This window comes from Homo sapiens, chromosome 16, assembly GCF_000001405.40.
Source record: "Homo sapiens chromosome 16, GRCh38.p14 Primary Assembly".
Classification (NCBI taxonomy): Eukaryota; Metazoa; Chordata; class Mammalia; order Primates; family Hominidae; genus Homo; species Homo sapiens.
Window position 1 is genome coordinate 6,018,679 of NC_000016.10, and position 19,702 is coordinate 6,038,380.

Consider the following 19,702-nt stretch of genomic DNA (forward strand, 5'->3'; position numbering starts at 1 on the left):
CAGAAAACTTCCTCAGAGAAGAAATGGACTGGGGCAAGAAGCTGCCTCCACTTGGCGTCTCTAGTGGGGGATTTGTCTACTTTGATTGGGGTTGGGAGGAGGGCGCTGGTGCTCAATGAGTGAGCCCACCTGGGGACTACCAGGACGAGGACGGGCGCAGGTGAAAGTCCTGGGCTCATTGCCCCAGCATCCAACTTTCACCCTCTGTCCCCTTTAGGCCAGGAGACCAGGGTACCGGGTCGCGTGTCCGCCGCCGCCGCCCGCTGGAATCCAGGGCTGCACGCGTGACCGCGGCGGCGGCGGCGCTGGCGAGGGGAAGGGGGAGGGGGCGCTCCCTCGCGCACCAGATTATTTTTGGCTCCGCAGCCGGGGCTGCTCGCTGCTTGTCGCGCGCTCACACACACACAGACACACACGCACACACACACATGCACACATTTTCTCGCGCTCTCTCCGGCTCTCCTTTGTTTATTTTCTAATCTATATTTTTACTGGAAGATTTCCTCTTTATTCTCTCCCGCCCTCCTACAAGCGCTCTTGCTGGCCGTCTGGGTGCACACACCGCTCCCTCGATCACCCCAGCCCCCTTCCTGGTCTCCCGAGCGCGGGGTTTGAAGGTCACCTCCTTTCCAGTCCCCGTGCGAGCCGCGCTGCCGCCGCCTCCTCCAGCCAGAGTCGGTGGGACTGGCTGCGCTGCCCTGAAGTGGTTCTCCAAGCAGCGCGGAGGGTGGCGGACGGCGGACGGAGCCCAGGGGCCGCGTCGGGTGGGGAAACCCGAACTCGCGGAGGGGAATCCCTCCCCCTCCGCCCCAGCCCCCCAGCAGCACCCGCGGTGGGGCGGGGGCGCTCTGCCAGCCCCGGGAACAGCAGAGGCGGCGGCACTGGCTGGACCCACGCGCGCGCCTCCGGGGCTGAAGAAGGAAGGAGTGAGCCGAGCCGAGCACCCCACATCTGGAGGGGACAGCCAGCCGTGGGCCCCGCCCCGGCGTCCGGAGCAGGAGAACTCCGAGCTTCTTGCCCAGGCAGAGAGAGCAGGAGCGGACCGCGCGCCCGGGATTGAGAGTCCTTGCGCTCCAGACCCCCACCCAGTGGCCGCCAGGGTCCCCGCCTGTCCGGACCCTCGCCGCGCCCAGGCAGGCGCGCCAGGGCGGGGCTGACCTGCCCGCGAAGTTGCGGACAGTGCGTGAGAAACCAGCACCCCCTTCCGCCGCCTCCAGCTTATGGTGAGTGTGGCTGGGGGTGCAGAGAGCGCACGGGAATTCGGGGGTCTGGGGCCGAGAACGTGACCGCAGCCGGGCTCGCCGGGAGTTCTAGGTAAGTCCAGGCGGAGTCATTGCCTCTGCACCCACCCTGACCTGGTGGGTCAGGTCCAGAAGGTCTCATGGAGGGAAGCGCTAGGTCCCCGAGAACTGGCCTCCTCCTAGCGCCAGTCTGGGCGCTCTGGACGGGAACTTTTTCAGGGTGTGTGGAAAGATCTCGAGGCGTGTCCCCCCCTACCCCCAGGAGGCCGAGACCCTGAGCCCCCTTGTGCGTCGCTTCCAGAAGCACGTCCTTCCTTGCCCCAGAGCGCCCCTCCGAAGCATCCAGGCTACCTCGTCCGTCCTCCTGGGAGCGAGTCCTAGGTGCCAGGAGCAGCGGGAGCCTGCCTGCGCACTTTGATTAGTCTCCCTGGCCGGCTGCAAGCGTGCACTCAGCGCGCCCCCGGACCGCTGCCTCCGCCCGCAGGGTGTGCAGGAGGAGGCATCTTAGTGACCCGGGAGGGTGTTTAGGTGCCCCGAACCCCTTGTGGGAGGAGGGGAAGAGAAGGCTCACTTATGTGGAGAAAGCGCCGCTGTGTTTACTGGCACTGGAATCGATGCCCCGCGGTGCCACCTCGACCCCAGGGGAGGGGGCCAGCCGGGAAACCTGCGAATGGGAAACTCCTACTGTGCCCCTGGTTCCTGGGAGCCTTAGAGAACCTTCACCCCAGAGAAGGAAACACAGGGGTAGCAGATCTTAGCCCTGTGTTGTTGTGCAGGCCAGGGGGGGGCTTGTCAGCTCCAATCAACCAATTGTCCAGCTATGGAAGCGAGGGCGGGGCTAGTGGGGCGCCGCTCCCATCTCCCCACCGCCCAGGAGGCCACTTGGCTGTGAGCTCCTGGAGCCTCCCTGGCGCCAGCTGCGGGGACCAGGTGTCACGCGGAGCCCGGAAGCTGTCCACTCAGCAAGGGAGGGGAAGACCCCGATCTAACCTTGTCCTGGAGCCCCCAGCTCCATTCCTTGCTGCCAGGGAATGGTCAGGGGGCTGGGAGAGCTCATCGCTCCTGTGTGGGCCAGAGCTGGGGTGCACCTGCTGGCACTGGAACATCTGGGGTGCGGCTACTGAAGAGCTTGGAAATCCTGGTCAGGCAGTCCGGGCAATTGGCACCCCAAAGGCGGATCTTTTCAGTTGAACTTGAAAAGAAGTGGGGGAGTGTGGTGAAATAGCTTTGTTGAGTTGAAACATCATGTCTCCTAACTTGGGTTTTCCTTTATTAGAATAATGATTGTTTATTTTTATTTTTAAACTCCGTTGTGCAGAGAGGCCTGGCCTTGACAGCCCAAGTTTAGGACATGCCCCAGCCTGCCATCCCTTCCCTGCCCCCTGTCCTAGTTCATCTCCCCTCCATTTATCATTTTATCTTTGTTACAAAAGAGAGAAAAAAAAGATGAGAGGGCCTGGATTCTTTCAATTTTTAAGTGACCACAGAGGCCCCGGCTGGAGCTACTGGCAGATTTATTTTTAGCTAAGATCTTTTATGTTCAGAAGCAAAGGACCTGGGGCCTGTGAAGGGTAAAGGTGGTGCTGGCAGTGGCTGTGCTGGTAAAAAGTGGGGCTGACTCAAAACCTGTGTCCTCTTTGAGCTCGTCAGGGAGGCCCTCCGTTTGGAAGAATCCCCTGGGCTTTCCTTAAGTTAGCTTATGGTTGCCTCGGGTTAGGAAGAAAAGTCATCATTCCTCGCGGTAGTGGAAGTGACACCTTAGGGGTCCAGAGAGTGGAGCTTTATGGCTCAGAAGAGCACAGGGCTTCTGGATCCGTTATCTGCCAGCTGTGTGACCTTGGGCAAGTTGCTTTACCTCTCTGAGCTTCGGGTTGTCACCTGTAAAATCAGAGTTTCAGTCGTAGTTCTGTCCTCAGAGGGTTTGGGGGTAAATTACTTAAAGCACTAAACATTTAGAACAGTTTGGCACATGGTAAGTGCCTGAATTCTATGAGTTTTGTTTCTTTATTCTTTCAAGTAGATTCCTCTAATTTTTGAGCCTTGTAGCACCGAGTGGTACAGGAAAGGCAGGTGGCTTGCCTTATACACACACGTTTTCTTTTAAGTAAGGAACAGAAGCCTCAAGCTCTCCCATTCTGCTCTCTGCATGTTCCAAGGAGGATCACGGACAAGCTGCCCACCCACTGGCCAAGATATAGGTTGGTGGCATTTGACTTGCTGTCTTGACAAGCACCTGAAATTAAGTTTTTGCAGCAGTTGTACATTTCTTCTGACCCACTGAAAGGACTTGATCTCCTTGGCCCCCTGGGATGAAAGTATTACCTTAGCAAATCTGTTTTTTTTTTTTTAATTAGAACATCATTTATTTAATACATAGAATATTTTGAAAACACAAGAATCGAAGAATATTAGAAGTGGCTTTATCATTCCTCCTGGGATTCACACATTGCAATTAGTATGTTTAGATATAAAATTTTGTGGCCAGGTGCAGTGGCTCATGCCTGTAATCCCATCACTCTGGGAGGCTGAGGTGGGCGTATTGCTTGAGTCCAGGAGTTCAAGACCAGCCTGGACAACTTAGCAAAACCCTGTCTGTACTAAAAATACAAACAATTAGATGGGTGTGGTGGTGCACACATGTAATCCCAGCTACCCTGGAGGCTGAAGTGGGAGAATCACCTGAGCCTGAGAAGGTTGAGGCTGCAGTGAGCCGATATCACGCCACTGCACTCCAGCCTGGGTGACCAGAATGAGACCCTGCCTCAAAAACAAAACAAAACAAACAAACAAACAAAAAACAATTTGTGATAGTATCTAAACAATTTGTGATAGTATTTAATTGTATAAACATATAAACATCTGTGGCACACATTTGCCCATAAATGAACTGAATGCACAAATACCTTGATCCAGTTTTTAGAAAGAATTTTAGTTTTGTTGTGGCAAGAACACAACATGGGCTGTACCCTGTGAAAAGATTTCTAAGTATATCATACATGACTGTTTTAAGGATAGTATTGTATAGGAGATGTCAAGGAGTTATTTACCTTTACTGCATGAGGGATTCGGGGATCTAAAATCGTCAAACTCATAGAAGCAGAGAGTAGAAGGTTGTGGCCAGGGTCTCAGGGGCCAGGGAAATGAGGATTTGCTGATCTAATCAACAGGTATAAAGTTTCAGTAATGTTGTAATAAATCTTGCTGTCCGTAGAACGTACAGTTTTTTACATCACCCTGAAGCTACAGAGTTTTCCACTCAGAAATGAAGCTGAAACATGGGTCTGAGCGGGTTTCTCCTCCTGGAATTGACCCACTCTGCCCTATTTTTCTTCTCATTATAATTGAAGCTATATATATATATATATATAGAACCTGCTCCTGTAAGGTTTGAGCACAGGTCTTCTAGACATCCTCATGTCTCTGATGATTTTAGAAAAAAATTAAGCTTAGTCCTTTTAGCTCGAACCATCCCAAGCTATTATATTTTATCAAAGTCCTTTCTGATAGTACATATTTTTTGTATCCAGAAAATTGGGTCTGCCCTGTATAGGAATCTGACATTTCACCTTTCCAAAAATTAGACCATTTCGTTTGCATCCTTTAAGCTGATGTGTGGAGTAATGAACACATTCCAAGAGGGAAATCGTATTTGACACAGAAAATACTTTGGAGACGCAGCGATTTCCCAGTGGCGTGTAAGGAGACTATTGAAATCCTAGCACGTTTGCTCTGAAGGACAGAGGGCAGCTCGTCCTGCCTTTGCCACCCAGCATGGGAGTTACACAGTAAGCATCATCCACAAATTAATACTGGCTGACTTTCCTAAAATCATCCTTTAATCTGTCGCTTTCACATTTACCCACAGTGTCGTGCCGGAGACCTCAAACACCGAGGCGACGTTTTTAAAGAAGCCACGAGGCTCTTCCCAATGTCTACCTCCATTATTTAAAATACTGCCTCGAGGCACAGGTATAAATATTAAAACTTTAATTAAAGAATCAATCAGTGATGGAGCTTCAAAACAAGGGGATCTAGCACTTTCAGATGATGTCAACTGTGAACACAGTTAGACTCGGTCGTAGGGCTAGGAGTTTTTATGAAAAATGACGCGTGGAGTTATATACACAGGCAACTGTCCTCATTTTTTGAATCTGTAGTCATTGTGAGCACTGTCACTCATTACCACTGGTTTGTCATTGTTCGCTAGTCAAAGAGACATGGGTGACTGTGGCCTGCTGCTACAGAAGAGTGTGTTGTCTTAGGGGAAGGAGTGGCTAATGCAAGAAATATTTATTTGGAATGTACCACATGTTAGACCCTGTGCTTGGTGAATAAGGCAGACGAGAACTTTCCTTTCTTGTAGCTTATATTGTCGTGGGGGAAGCCGCGTCATAAGCAAGACGTTGAAATATATTTTCATAAGGATAATGAAAAGGGTTCCAAAAATTATAGTGTGATAGTGACTTGGGGGGACATTCCAGAGAGGAGAGATTTGACCTGAGAAGTACATGAAAAGAAGTAGCTGATCTGTATGGATCCATACATTTATCCAATGAGTATTCTACTCATCTCCGCTTTCTTTTTTTTGAAACAGAGCCTCACGTTGTATCCCAGGCTGTAGTACAGTGGTGTGATCTCATCTCACTGCCACCTCCACCTCCTGGGTACAAGTGATTATTATGCTTCAGCCTCCTGAGTAGCTGGGATTACAGGTGTGCTCTGCCACGCCTGGCTAGTGTTTGTATTTTTAGTAGGGATGGAGTTTCCCCATGACTGGTCTTAAACGCCTGACCTCAAGTGATCCACCCGCCTCCTCGGCCTCTCAAAGTGCTAGGATTACAGGCGTGAGCCACCACGCCCAGCCTCATTCACCCCTACTTTCTATGAATTCCTGAGTGTTCATCAGGCACCCACTGTGTGCCAAGCACTATTGAAAGCACTTCAAGTGCAGAGTGATCAATACATGCAGATACCTTGTCCTAAAAGACTTCCGTTCTAGGATAGTTGTCTGCATGGAGGGCGTTTCAGAGAAGGGGACCAACAAGCACAACGATCCAGAGGCTGGAATAGTGACAAAATCATACAGTTGAAGGTTGGTCCTATAGGCCCTTGTGGCCTGGGAAGGGACCCTGGCTGTTATTCTAATGGGAAACCATTGGGGGATTTTATGCAGAGAGATACCAGGATATATTTATGTCTTAAACATTATGGGAAAATTGTTAGGTGTTTTTGAGATGAGTGAATAAACAAGCATGCCTTCCTGGCCGGCCGGCTCTATTTTTTCAAAGTTTCAATTCATTTCTATGACCAGATTTGGTCTGTGGACGTAGTGACATCTGAAAAGGTAAGCCTTGCAACGTCTGAGAAATTAAACTCGATTCCCCACCACCACCTACTTCGTAGGGCTTACACTAAAATCTTTCATTCAAGAAGAGGGATTACTTTATAGGGAAAAAGAACCTCATTTTCCAGTAATGTTCTTTGTGTGAGGGTGGAAGACCCTGGGAGGATACATCTGTATACATTAGCCTACTTAGATTTTCTTTCTCTGGGGCCTCCCTTCAAAGAGGCAACATCATGTGTTCTTGTGTGCCTGCATGAGCAGCCGCACCCTCCCACCACCACATCCTTTTGATGGCTTGACTGACAAGTCTCCTGGGAGTACCCTGAGAACAGTTGCACTCAGATGCCCTTTATTGATCGTCTGTCCGGGTAGGTTCCCTTTCAGAGTATGGCCACAGATTCTCCCATTGGTAGGTGTGGGCCAGGGTAATAACAGATATTGACAGTGCAAAGTGGGTTGCTTATGGAGAGCTCTGAGTGCAGCCGACGTTGTCCATCTTCAGAGGCTACCCTGCCCTTAGAAGGTTGAGGTGCAATTTGTTGGAGGGTTTGGACACCTGGACAATTCAGTTTTCCTCCCACATTGACTGTCTCTTTATCCACAATACTGGAACTGCATTATTGCCTATTATATGTGACATGAACATCAGAATAAGTGTACATGGATTGAACTCTTCCTATGTAGCACAAGCTGAGCCAAGCACTGTACCTTCATGGCTGTGTGTTGTGCTATGTGTTTCAGGCATGTGATCGCCTCCCCCACCCACCCAGCAGTTCACCTTATTCGATTCCTGCTCATCCTTCAGGTTACAACTCAAAAGCCCCAGGCTTAGAGAAACTGTCCCTGTTTGCCTGTGTCGATTCTCGTTTTTTACAGCCATCCCAGGGGCATCTTATATTTTATTGAGTGACTCTGTTTTATCCTTTTTCTCTTACTCCACTCCATGGTCAACTGCAGGTGGACCATGCATACACCTGTTTGGACATCACTGTCTCCTTAGCATCTAGCGTGGTGCAAGGCACACAGCAGAAGCCCCATATGGAAATAATGAATTATTCCATTTGATGCTTCTCACACACTTTGAGGTTAGTGCTTTTCAGATCCCCATTTTGCAGATAGAGAGTGGGGTGTAGGCAGGCGTTAAGCAATTTGTCCAAGGACACAACAGCAGGTAAGAGGCACTTCCAAGATTTTGAACCTGACAGTCTGAGTCCACAGCCCCTGATGCTCATCACTGTGCACATGGCCTCTTTTGCTGCCTTTGCAAGATACAAGGGAGGGTGGGAGGCAATGTGTGCAGTGGTTAGGGAGCTCTTGCTGCATAGCTTGAGTTGCTCTGAGAAGTGATGCTGAGCCCATTAGAGCCACAAAAGGAAAACAAGGCACTTGTTTCTATTTATTGCAGTATTACTTTATCGTTGTGTAAGAGCCTCGCTAGATTTCTGCACTGGTGCAATCTGGCTCTTGTTTTGTTGTTTGTCTCCTTGGAGTCTCAAGGCCCTGGGTTGCCCAGGGCATCTCTGGCCTCTTTATCTAGGCTCACGCTCTGAGTATGATTTTGAGGGAGCGGTTGGACCACCTGCCTGGTTACAGGCAGTCCTTGGGCATCATGCAGTCACAGCTGGAGCTGCTCTGATAGCCACTCAAAATGTGGTGTGCAAACCACTGCTCACTCCATCTAATCACCGTCATCTGAATCAGCTTCCCTCTTCATTTCTTCTGAGAACAAAATTAGATCTTTGCCAGCATAATGGATGAACTTGTGCAATCACCTTGTTCATTGCTAGTTCTGCATTTCCCCAAGATGTTGATGTCTCTTTTCTGTGAATTTTAGAATATAGAGTGTCAGAGATGAGGGTGAGGACTTGAGGTTTTCAAAATTGTCTTCTTTGTACCATGGTTGGGACCCTAATAGCTATGACACTCACTGGAAGCTCCTTCTGTGCTAGGGCTTCCTGTGTGTCATTTCATTAACTCTTCATGGCAAACCCTTTATTATACCACTTGACAGATGAAGGAACTGAGGCCCAGTGACTAAATGGCAAACCGAGATTGCAGACTCAAGCAGTTCTCTTCCCCTGCTGTGTGTGGAGAGGGCATGCTTGGGATGCAGGGAATAGCAGAGGCACCATGATAAGGTACTAGGAAGGAGGCAGTGCAGGTATTTCACTGAGATTCCAGAATCAGTGTGTCTGGCTTGAGATCCCAGCTCCATCACTTTCTAAGTCCATAACCTTTCACTTTCTTCAATTTCTCTGAACCTCAGTCCATCCCTACAAATGGAGATTATCACTACATTGTACAGTCCGTCTGAGGATTAATCAGCCTGGTAAATTATTTTAGCAAAGTGCCTGGCACCTAGTGTGTGTTTAGTGCAAGTAGGAGTCATAGGGCTGACTATGATAATCATGACGATTACTATTATCCATTGATAATAATGATATCATTATTAACCTTGTTTTTGTTGCTAGAATTTCACAATCCCTTTGGGCAGCAAATTGGTCCCAGAATGTGCTTCGTATATTTTCCTCTTGACTGTAACTGAGGTGACAAATTGAGAGTGAAGGGGGAAGAACCCAGCGTAGCTGCAAATGTACGGTTGAGATCGTTGACAGACTTGAGGCCCTGTGTGGAGTTCCGCCTGCAGAGGATGCTGACAGCAGCCATATGCATGGGCTCTGATTGATTGGCAGAGAGAAACACTAATTTATTAGACTCGTTATGAAAAGTGACGGAGCAGGGGATTGAGAGGGCTGATTCAGCAACAGTAGCCCTGGCTAGATCCCAGGGGTATTGGCTTGGTGTCTGTTTCCCTTGGGACCAGCCCCCTGTCTTGATTCTGGGTCACTGCCTGTGTTCTCAAGTGAGTCTCCTGAAGATGTCCATGGCATGGCTCACTTTTACCACGTTGTAAATGTCATACCTATTTCTTCAGTATCCTTAGAAAGCTGAGTCCAGTTCAGGTTGCTGTTGATTGCAAAGGCTGATAAGAGGAGGGAGGGAGTGTGTGCATGCAGAAATTCCCCAGTGGAGGGAAAATAGTCCTTTTCACAGGTTAGAGAAAGTGCAGTAGTTTCCTTGAGGGAGAATAAAGGGCATGGTTGATACCTCTCTTTAAGAACATGATGACCGGGCATGGTGGCTCCTGCCTGCAATCCCAACACTTTGGGAGGCTGAGGCAGGAAGATTGCTTGAGCCAGGAGTTGGAGACCAGCCTAGGCAACATAATGAGACCCTGTCTCTGTTAAAAAAAAAAAAAAAAAAAAAAAAATTAGCTGGGTGTGGTAGCTCATGCCTGTAGTCCTAGCTACTCAGGAGGCTGGGACAGGATTGCTTGGCTCTGGGAGTTTAAGGCTGCTATGAGCTGTAATTGTGCCACTGCACTCCATCCTTGGCAACAGAGCAAGACCCTATCTGTAAAAAAAAAGAACATGAAGCTCTTTGTAGAAAGATTTCTCATTTCTGATTTGGAGAGATTGTTCAGTCTGAATTACAGCAGGTAGGATGCTGGTTAAAGAAGTGTCTTGCCTTCAAGGTGATAAGGCACTGAATGGGGCTATGTTGGAGTCAGAAAAGCTTTGAGAAGACTGAATTCCCTGAGCGCCAAGGTGCGAAAGGACAAAGTCATGGCAGCCAGGTACACTTAACTTGTGGATCCAGATTCTGCCACTTCCTGGCTGTGTGAGCTTGGGCCAGTTACTGCACCTCTCTGAGCCTCCATTTACTTGTCTATTAAAAGGCAAATGATTCTGTCTCCAAGGATGGCTACCTGGGAGTGAGTTAAGTCAAGCAGCAATCACACAGACTTCCGAGCTAGTCACTTCTTATTTTTTTTTACCTTGTGGTATTCAGACAATAGCCTCTCACCCCATGACTCTTTGATACAAAAGGTTCCCTAGTTAGTGTGCTGTGATTTGTGGAAAGATATTTTGTTTCCTAGTGAATTTCATTCATTTTGCTCAGGAAACTTTATTGGTTTTGTCTGTGTAAACCTAAAATAATCTTCAAAAGTTCATAACAAGAACAAGGAACCATCCACCCCATTCTATAAACTTATTTCTACTGAATTGTGCTTCGCTGGTGTCAGTTTATAATGAGAAATAGTATAAGAAAGCCGATTAGCCACAAATTTTAAAAACTTGACATTATATATGCACACTGAAAGAGGATAGACTATTTAAAGTTTGAGAATTTTTACAGTTGAATCTAGCATTTGAAAGAAAAACATGGCCGGGCGTGGTGGCTCACGCCTGTAATCCCAGCACTTTGGGAGGCTGAGGCGGGTGGATCACGAGGTCAGGAGATCGAGACCATCCTGGCTAACATGGTGAAACCCCGTCTCTACTAAAAATACAAAAAATTAGCCGGGCGTGGTGGCGGGTGCCTGTAGTCCCAGCTACTCGGAAGGCTGAGGCAGGAGAACGGCGTGAACATGGGGAGCGGAGTTTGCAGTGAGCCGAGATCGCGCCACTGTACTCCAGCCTGGGCGACAGATCGAGACTCCGTCTCAAAAAAAAAAAAAAAAAAAGGGGAAAGAAAAACATGTTATTGAATGTAGGTGAGGGATAAGAACCAAGAACTTCTGGTAAGAACCCAGCAGGACAAGCGAGCTATGAAGAATTCAACTCTCTAATGTTATTTGCTATGATTATTATTGTTATTTTTTTGAGACAGAGAGTCTCATTTGTTGCCCAGGCTGGAGTGCAGTGATGCAATCATGTCTCACTTCAACCTCTGCCTCCTGGACTCAAGTGATCCCACCTCAGCCTCTTGAGTAGCCAGGACCACAGGCATGTGCCACCAAGCCTGGCTAATTTTCGTGTTTTTAAATTTTTGTATTTTTTTGTAGAGTTGTGATTTCACCATGTTGCCCAGGCTGGTCTTGAACTCCTGGGGTCAAGCAATCTTCCCTTACAAAGTGCTGGGATTACAGGCATGAGCCACTATGCCCAGCCCTATGATGATATTTTTGAGGACTCTGTTGGCTATTACTGTGTTAGCTTTGGTTTCAGGATCAGAAAGAGTTTGTCCTTTCTTCAGGTTCTGATTGGTATTTATGTACCAGACACTTCTAAGTGGAATACCTGTCCATGTTCCCTTTTCACAAAGCCTGCCAGGAATCTCAGAGCTGATTTTATAGTTCAGTCACAGTAGTAAATAGAATTTGATAGCATGGATTTTGCGTATTAACCTCACTTTTGACTCAGTTTTATTTCTCTACCCTTCCATTTTAATTTTCTCTTTTTATTGTGATGTATGTTACTGTATCAAAAGAATACCTTTGCAAGGTACCTAATGTGAACATATTCAAATATTGAATAAGAAAGCAATATAAAGGTATATAAGGTAGGTGAACATTGAAAGGTATACATAAATTACAGCCCTTTAAAACACCAGGAACCCTGGAAAATAGGACCATATAGTGCAGTGCTTGGTATCTTGAGCTAGACCTGAAGTTAGAGAAATGCAATTTTGAGTCCCAACAGTGCAAATGGTTACTCTTTCTTATTTTCTCCTTTTAAAAAACATTTTCCTGGAGCACTATTTATGCTATATAAATTCACTTTTATTGGGCCATTTATTGCCTTTTTCATGCATTCAGCAAACATTTTTGAGCCCATGCTCTGGGCCAGGCACTGTTAGGCACTGGGGATACTGTATGGGGTGGGTATATTGACCAATATTGACATCATCTCTGCCTAGTGAAACTTATGCTGTAGTGAGAGAGACTGACACGAAACATGAATGCAGGTAAAAAGACAATAGAATTACCCGTTATCATAAGTATTAAAACGGCAACAGAATGGAGCATTCATGTAATAAAAGAGTGAGTGACCCTGTTCGGTAGGAACATCAGGGAAATGTCTCCAAGGAGAGGTATTGGGCCACATTTAAGCTACGGCCTGAAGACTGAGAAGGGCCAAGCTGTGACCAGTGGGGAGAAGAGAAGAGAGGAGACCATGGTGAGCAGAGGTGGCAGTGTGTTCAGAAGCCCGGGGGAGGAAGGAGAGGGCTCTGCACATCCTGAGAACAGCAAGGTGGCCAGCGTGCCTGGGGTGGTGAGAGCAAGGGAAGGGATGTGGCTGGCAAAGCCTGCAGAGGCCAGAACAGGCAGCCTTGCTCTCAGGAGCCTGTGCCCTGTGTTATTTTTGAGATGGGGAAGATCTTAACTAGTACCATCCTTTATAAGCATATTCAAGATAGGTGCGAGAATAAGGTACAAGGAGCACCATGCCAGAAAAGCAATGTGTGTGCCTCTGTGTGTGCATGTGTAGATGTGTACACTTGTATGTGCACATGAGTGGATGTGCACACACATCTCTGTATGTGTGCAAACGTGCATTTTTGTGTACATTTCTGCACGTGTGTGTATGTATGTACATGCATGTATGTGGCATGCGCATACGTGCATGTATTGCAGCAGGAAGAGAAGGAGCCACGAACAGTATGACAGTGGGGAGATTGCTGACTTCAGAGCCCAGCAGAATGAGGGTCAGTGTTGCTGGGCACGCTGCTTACAGCATGTGCAGAGCATAGCTCTGTTTTGCCTCACATCCCTCCTGGACTGATCCCTTTCTGTTTGTATGGTACATTCAGTGAGTGACAGCATCACAGGAGGCAGACCCCAGCCTTATGAACATATCTTCATAACACCATACAGTCTCACGAGAAAGGGGAGGTCATTTGTTCACTGTAGTCCACCCCTGAATTGTTCCCTCACTGGCTCTGTGTCACTTTCAGAGATTTTTTTAAATTCTGGGAAATGCTTTGGGGACTTCGGCATTTTGGAGTGTGTTTTCAAGGATTGTATTAGCACCACAGAGACCCTTAGCCTCTTTCTTAAAGGTTCTGTTTTTAGACATCCTCCTCTTTTATCCGTGCTTTCAATTCTGCTGCTTCCTTCCTTCTGAGATTCCTTCTTCCTTGCTGGTCTTGGAACAAGAAACATTTAGCTGTATTTTCCTCGTTCTCGCCTAGGTAGGGTGTGGTCCCCCTGTGTCCTCATTTGTTCAACATTTTGAGACAAAGATTGGTGGAATTGCCACTTAAAAAAATAAAACCAGGGAAAGCAGCTCAGAGAATTTAATTTGCCTCTAACCCAACTCTTCTACTTATTAAAAAAATATACAATTATTCATTCCGTAGCACTCCAGATTGCTTCACTGAAAGAAAGAAAGAAAGGGATCCACTCCAGGGAGAAAGAGGCTCTTGAGCTTTTTGTTCCTTGATGATCCTGTCTTTACGTAATTTGGTGGAGCCTACTGGGGAATCATCATTTTGGGAGACTATGGATGTGCCTCATTGCAGAAGAATAAGTAGAGAGCAGTGTCTGGAACAAATGCTTGTCTTAAAAAAAGTTTATGAAATGCCAGCAGATGTCAGTGTGCCCTTGCCATTTGATTTTTTTTTTAAAGCAACATTAATTATTTTCGGTAGTAAAAACAACACAAGTATATTCTGCTACAGTTATAAATGAAAAGATCATGAGGCAACGTTTTTTAGGTTTGGAGAAGGACCAGCAGAATTTATGTCATAAGGTAAAATCCTCTAAATTATCTGTGTAATATAATTTGTCTTTTCCCAGAAAAGTGGTTTCAAAATGCAAAACCTAGTGTAAGTTTTTTTTTTTTTTTTCCCTCTCTCCCAGCCATTGTTCAGGTGCCAATAATAGCTTAGGATCCAGCTTAGCTTCTGAGAAGCTACTGGCTCTGCTAATTGATAACAGCTCCTTATTTCAAAGCTGGAGTTTGCAAAGGAAGGTAGTGTAGGGTTGGGTATGGCCTTGTCGTTTGTCATCTGAGTTGTGATGAGAAACTCTTGCAGTTTACGTTGTTACCGTGAGCACAGCAAATTGCGTGCTAATAGTTAGTTCCTCCGCAGACATTGTTTGGATCAAAAATGAGGGCCTCTATACAGGAAAAAGATTCACTCAAATAATTAAAAACTATTCATTTTAAGCAAGGGATAATTTGCCAGCATGTAGTGCAAGAGAGGTAGGGTCGTTTCTAGGCAGGGAATGATGTATGTTACAGGGCATATTTGATGCTTTGCTTTATTTATTTAATAGTTTTGATTAAATGGTACAATATTCAAAAATGCAGGAGTATGCAGAGAAAAATAAATCTCTCTTGCACTTGCCTTGCAGTTTATTAGAGACAACTATTTTTATAGTTTCTCATGCACCCTTTCATATATATTTTATGCGAATACAAACATTTACACAGATATTTATACCAACAAAAGATAGCATATGAAATGCATAGTTCCACTGTTTGCTCTTTTTAAAAAAATTAAGAATACCTTTTAAGGATTATTCCCTCTCATTGTGTGTGTGTGTGTGCACACGCACGTGTATTTTTTCTGCTCCACCTTTGTTAATGGATATATAGTATTCCATTGCACATGCTTACATTATTTAATTGGCCTCCTTTTGATGGATATTTATGTTGTTTCCATTTTTGAAGCGCTACATGGAATATCTTCAACCGCCACCACTTCCCACACATGTCTGTAGGATACATTCTTAGAGGTGAAATTGTTAGGTCAAAGGAAACATGCCTTTCATTTTGACAGACACTGCCAAACCTGATGCTCTGGCTGAGCTGCACCCTTACATGTTGGTGGATGAATGGGGTTTAGAACCAAATGAAGCCATGTGGTGATTCTGGTCTGACTTGGCTACCGTGATGACTGTCATGAATTATGTCCCTATTGGAAGTGTCTTAGTCTAGTTCTGCTGCTATAACAAAATGCTTATCCAGGGTGATTTAGAAAGAATAGGAATCGTTGGCCAGGCGCGGTGGCTCATGCCCGTAATCCCAGCCCTTTGGGAGGCCGAGGTGGGCGGATCACCTGAGGTCGGGAGTTCAAGACCTGCCTGGCCAACTTAGTGAAACCATGTCTCTACTAAAAATACAAAAATTAGCTGGGGGTGGTGGTGGGTGCCTGTAATCCCAGCTACTTGGGAGGCTGAGGCAGAAGAATTGCTTGAATGGAGTCGGAGGTTGCAGTGAGCTGAGATTGCGCCACTGCACTCCAGCCTGGGTGACAGAGCGAGACTGTTGCGCAAAAAAAAAAAAAAAAAAAAAAAAAAGAAAAGAAAAGAAAAGAAAGGAATAGAAGAGAAGTTGTTTTCTCATAGTTTTGGAGGCTGGGAAGTCCATGATCAAGGTGTGGCAAGTTCAATGTCTAGTGAGGGATGCCCGCTCTGCATCCAAGATGGTGCTTCCTGGCTGCATCTTCATATGGTGGAAGGTAGAAGTGCTGAAGAGTCTGACTAGTTCTCTCCAACCTTTGGGTAAGGTTCCCATCTAAGCATGAAGGCAGAGTCTTCATGGTCTAAACAGTCCTTAATAGTGTTGCATTGGAGAATAAGTTTGAACGTGAATTTTGGCGGGGACACAAACCTTCATACCGTAACAGAATGTTTTGCAGTTCTTGTCATTGCTGTTTTTTTGCTAACACTTTCCATCTGCCAAGTAGTTTGTTAAGATCTTTAATTCCACGTTCACATCTTTGTCCTCATAACAACCCTGTGGAGTAGACCCTGCTCTCATCCTGTTTCAGGATGGGGATGTGGGGGCTGAGAGACCTCAGGTGCTTTGCTTAGGGTTACAGGGTGGATGGTCAGCTCAGGAGTCACACTCAGGGCCTCTAGGCTTAACCATTGAGCTGGGAAGCTGTGGTGGGTTTTAAGCAGCAGAGAGCATACTATTGAGTTACAATGAGTTTAATGTCAACCCGATTGTGCTGTTGACCTTTTGGATTGCATAATTATCTGTTGTGCAGGCTGTCCTGTACACTGTAGGATGTTTAATAGCATCCCTGGCCTCTACCTGCTAGATGTTAGTAGCACCCCCTTCACCCATCCATGACAACCAAAGACGTCTCCAGATTTTGCCAAACGTCCCTGGGGTAGAACCTTGCCCCACTAACTCAGACAAAGAGCAAAATATGCCGTGGGCATCTGTAGCATAACACCAGAGACATGTATTTGAGGACACACATGGTGGCTGATGTCAGGGCATCTTCCATTCAGCCGTCTCAGCCAAGGGACACTCATTTAGTTCTTCCCCAAGGATGGAGCAGATGGGCTGCCCCTTGTGGCAGATGCCAGTCTAGGAAGAAACAAGACGGTATTACTCAAACCATTTCATCCTCCATTCGATCACAGTAGCACTGCCCAACAAGACTTTGTCTTTTAAAATGTAGTTTAGAAACGTCCTTGAAAAATTGCCTGGTAAAGTAGACTTATAAAAAATTATGTTCCCAACTATAGTCCAGCTTATATATTATACAGCTTTTCTATTCCTGCATTTTCCTTTGGTGTTCAGTAATGCTCTACATCAAAATGGCAAGCGGGAGGCATCAGCCCTCCCAGCTCCCTGCACGTGGCAGACATTGATAATCAATTCTTTTCCCCCCTCATCAGCGTCACCTTCTTAGAATCCTCAGTGCATCTCTCTAGGCATAGACTGTCAACCAATTGGAATTACTATGTGAAATGAAATGTATTTGCCACCCCTGTTACATGGTGCCTTTTTGGCTGAGAAGAAGGATTACGCTTTCCAAAGAGGCAAGCTTATCATGAGGTATTAGCTTATTTTTCAGTTACTCTGAGAAAAGTGCTTGATAGATGGGAAGAAATGTCTATTCTTAAAGCATTTGGAATTACGATCTTATTTTGTAACAGTAATTGGGTGCCTGAAGAATACTCCTCTTTCCTGAGGTGCTTTACATATACTATCATCCTATGTATTATTGTTTTTCTGTAGTAACATCTCTCTCCCCTCCACCACCAAAAATCAGTCCCCTCCCTTCAAAGCCTGGTGGAGGCAGCCACCTGAGGGTGACACAAAACGCTTTGTGTACAATGGGAACTGAGACAATTCCCTCAGCAAAGAACATTGAGAAGCTGCAGGACGTTACTGGAACTGTGTCACTTCTCAGCACAGGGCATGTGAGGGAGCTTTAAAGAGATGGGGAACTGAACCATCCAAGATTTCCAGAAGTAACTTCTGATGTATAAAGGCATGGAGGCCAGGCTGCTCTGGGAAGGCAACACAGGTTTCAGAGTTGAAAATGCTTTTAGGTGGCATCATAGAACCATCCATTCTAGCATAATGTTTTGTGTTTTTTTTTTGCCATTGCTTTTTTGGGGAGGGGTGGAAAAACTCCCATGGAATTGTGTGGTAACTTGGTAATTTGGTTTAGTAACTTGATGAACCTATATGCAAATACCTATCACTTAGATAGTTTTTAAGTCATCTCCTGTTTCTGATTCTAAGAAAATAGAGAAAAATAATCTTGGAAAGAAAAGGCCCTGGGTCAGACAGTGTCTGTCTCTTTTTATTTTTCAGACTGGTGGGAATGTTTTCCTTTCTCCACTTTTAGATGTTTTAGTCTGTGAGAGATAGGGACAAATACAACACGTCTCCTATTTCCTCTTCTGAGAAAGGAATTTTTAACTTAGATGGGAGGCACCAGTGAACTTCAAGGGCTTGAAATTGCATTTAAAATTTAAAGAATAAACATTTTTATCTGGGCAGAAGGCTCATAGCTTTTTAAAAATCACATTCTCAAAGTGCTATATGGGACACACAAAAAAGTAAGAGCCCATCTTTTTCAGAACAATAACTTTCAGACTCTTTTACCATGACCCTAGTAGGCAAGGAAAAAGGATACTACAGCCCAACCACTTCACCTGTTTTAACCTTCTGGTGGGACTGTGTGTGTTGGAGGTGGGGGGAGACAGGGAGGTCACAGAAAGCTCAGTAGTGATGAAGGATTGGGGTGCAACTGTATTTGGTGGGAGAGATACTTACCTCTTACTTAGCAGTAGGAATATGCATTTATTTGAGTCACAATCTCTGTATGTCTTAAAGTCCAATTATTTAGAAATTATCAGAAAAAAGTGCAGTTAATGCTAAAGTGTTAGCATTAACCAAACCCCATAAAACCACAACAGTAATGTTTTCTTAAAACATTGAATTGAGTCCCGCTTAACAACTTTGATAATAGCATGAGATCAGAAAGTCCTTCCTGAAAATTCCAAGAATGAAAGCCGTGTGCATGAGTTTTTGCGGGAGAATATTTGCAACATTTCTGTGAAGTTCTTGATAGCTAGACTTCCTGGTACAACATTTAATTGTAGTCCTTAGTAAACTTTTGTAATAATTTATGTTGATTTTTCAATAATACTTTCAAGTTTTCAATTTTACTAACTCAGTGGAATACTACTGTTGGTATCTATTGGTCACTTACAAAAAAAAAAAAAACAGTCCGTTGAATGCATTTTCTTTCTTTTTTTTCTTTTTTTTGTTTTGTTTTGTTTTATTTTTTGTTTTTGGAGACGGAATCTCGCTCTGTCGCCCAAGCTGGAGTGCAGTGGTGCAATCTCGGCTCACTGCAACCTCCGCCTCCTGGATTCAATCGATTCTCCTGCCTCAGCCTCCTGTGTAGCTGGGACTACAGGTGCCCGCCACCACGCCAGGCTAATTTTTTATATTTTAGTAGAGACAGGGTTTCACCGTGTTGCCCAGGCTGGTCTCAAACTCCTGAACTCAGACAATCTGCCCACCTCGGCCTCCCAAAGTGCTAGGATTACAGGTGTGAGCCACCACACCTGGCCTGTAGAATGCATTTCAATGTGCATAACGCTAATGAAAAGACTTGCAGTTTTGGTTCAGTTAATGGCCCATTGTGAGGACTCTTTAGGTCTGTATACTTAGGCATGATACATTATTGCTGTAGGAAGTTAGAGAAGATGGGAAGCACAGGGCTTCCATTCTACAGATATCCCTATATTTTTTGGCGGGGGATTGACTCCGCAAACCATATTTTCTAAACTTTTTCATATATACTTGCTTATGAATATATTGGAAGCAAGCCTATATTTATTTATTATTTTATTTTATTAGTTTTTTTTTTTTGAGATGGCATCTAACTCACCCTGTCATCCAGGCTGGAGTGCAGTGGTGCAATCTTGGCCCACTGCAGCCTCCGCCTCCTGGACTCAAATGATTCTCCTGCCTGAGCCTCCTGAGTAGGTGGGATTACAGGCGTGCACCATCACACCCAGCTAATTTTTGTATTTTTGGTAGAGACAGGGTTTTAC

At 45.8% G+C, this 19,702-nt stretch overlaps 1 protein-coding gene across 16 annotated transcripts in view, besides 1 other annotated feature; it reads left to right on the forward strand.

Annotated features, from left to right (window-relative positions):
• Positions 1-19,702, forward strand: part of RBFOX1 (RNA binding fox-1 homolog 1) — a 2,473,620-nt gene that overhangs the window by 778,958 nt on the left and 1,674,960 nt on the right. For 7 of the 16 annotated variants that reach the window (NM_001415895.1, NM_001415891.1, NM_001415907.1 and 4 more), the window contains exon 1: positions 346-1,223. The exons of 4 other annotated variants lie outside the window; for them this stretch is intronic. In NM_001415895.1, the coding sequence (NP_001402824.1) occupies positions 1,221-1,223 (3 nt within the window). In that variant the 5' untranslated portion in view covers positions 346-1,220. Of the gene's footprint in view, positions 1-345; positions 1,315-19,702 lie in introns of those variants that run through there. 5 more of the 16 variants (NM_001364800.2, NM_018723.4, NM_001142333.2 and 2 more) reach the window with 2 other exon arrangements.
• Positions 4,137-5,336: an enhancer, noted in NCBI's record as "BRD4-independent group 4 enhancer chr16:6072816-6074015 (GRCh37/hg19 assembly coordinates)". NCBI's record gives its function as "activates an origin of replication core promoter dependent on BRD2, P300/CBP, MED14 and CDK7 cofactors, and independent of BRD4, by STARR-seq in HCT116 cells {active_cell/tissue: HCT116}" and the evidence as "EXISTENCE:reporter gene assay evidence [ECO:0000049][PMID:35650434]".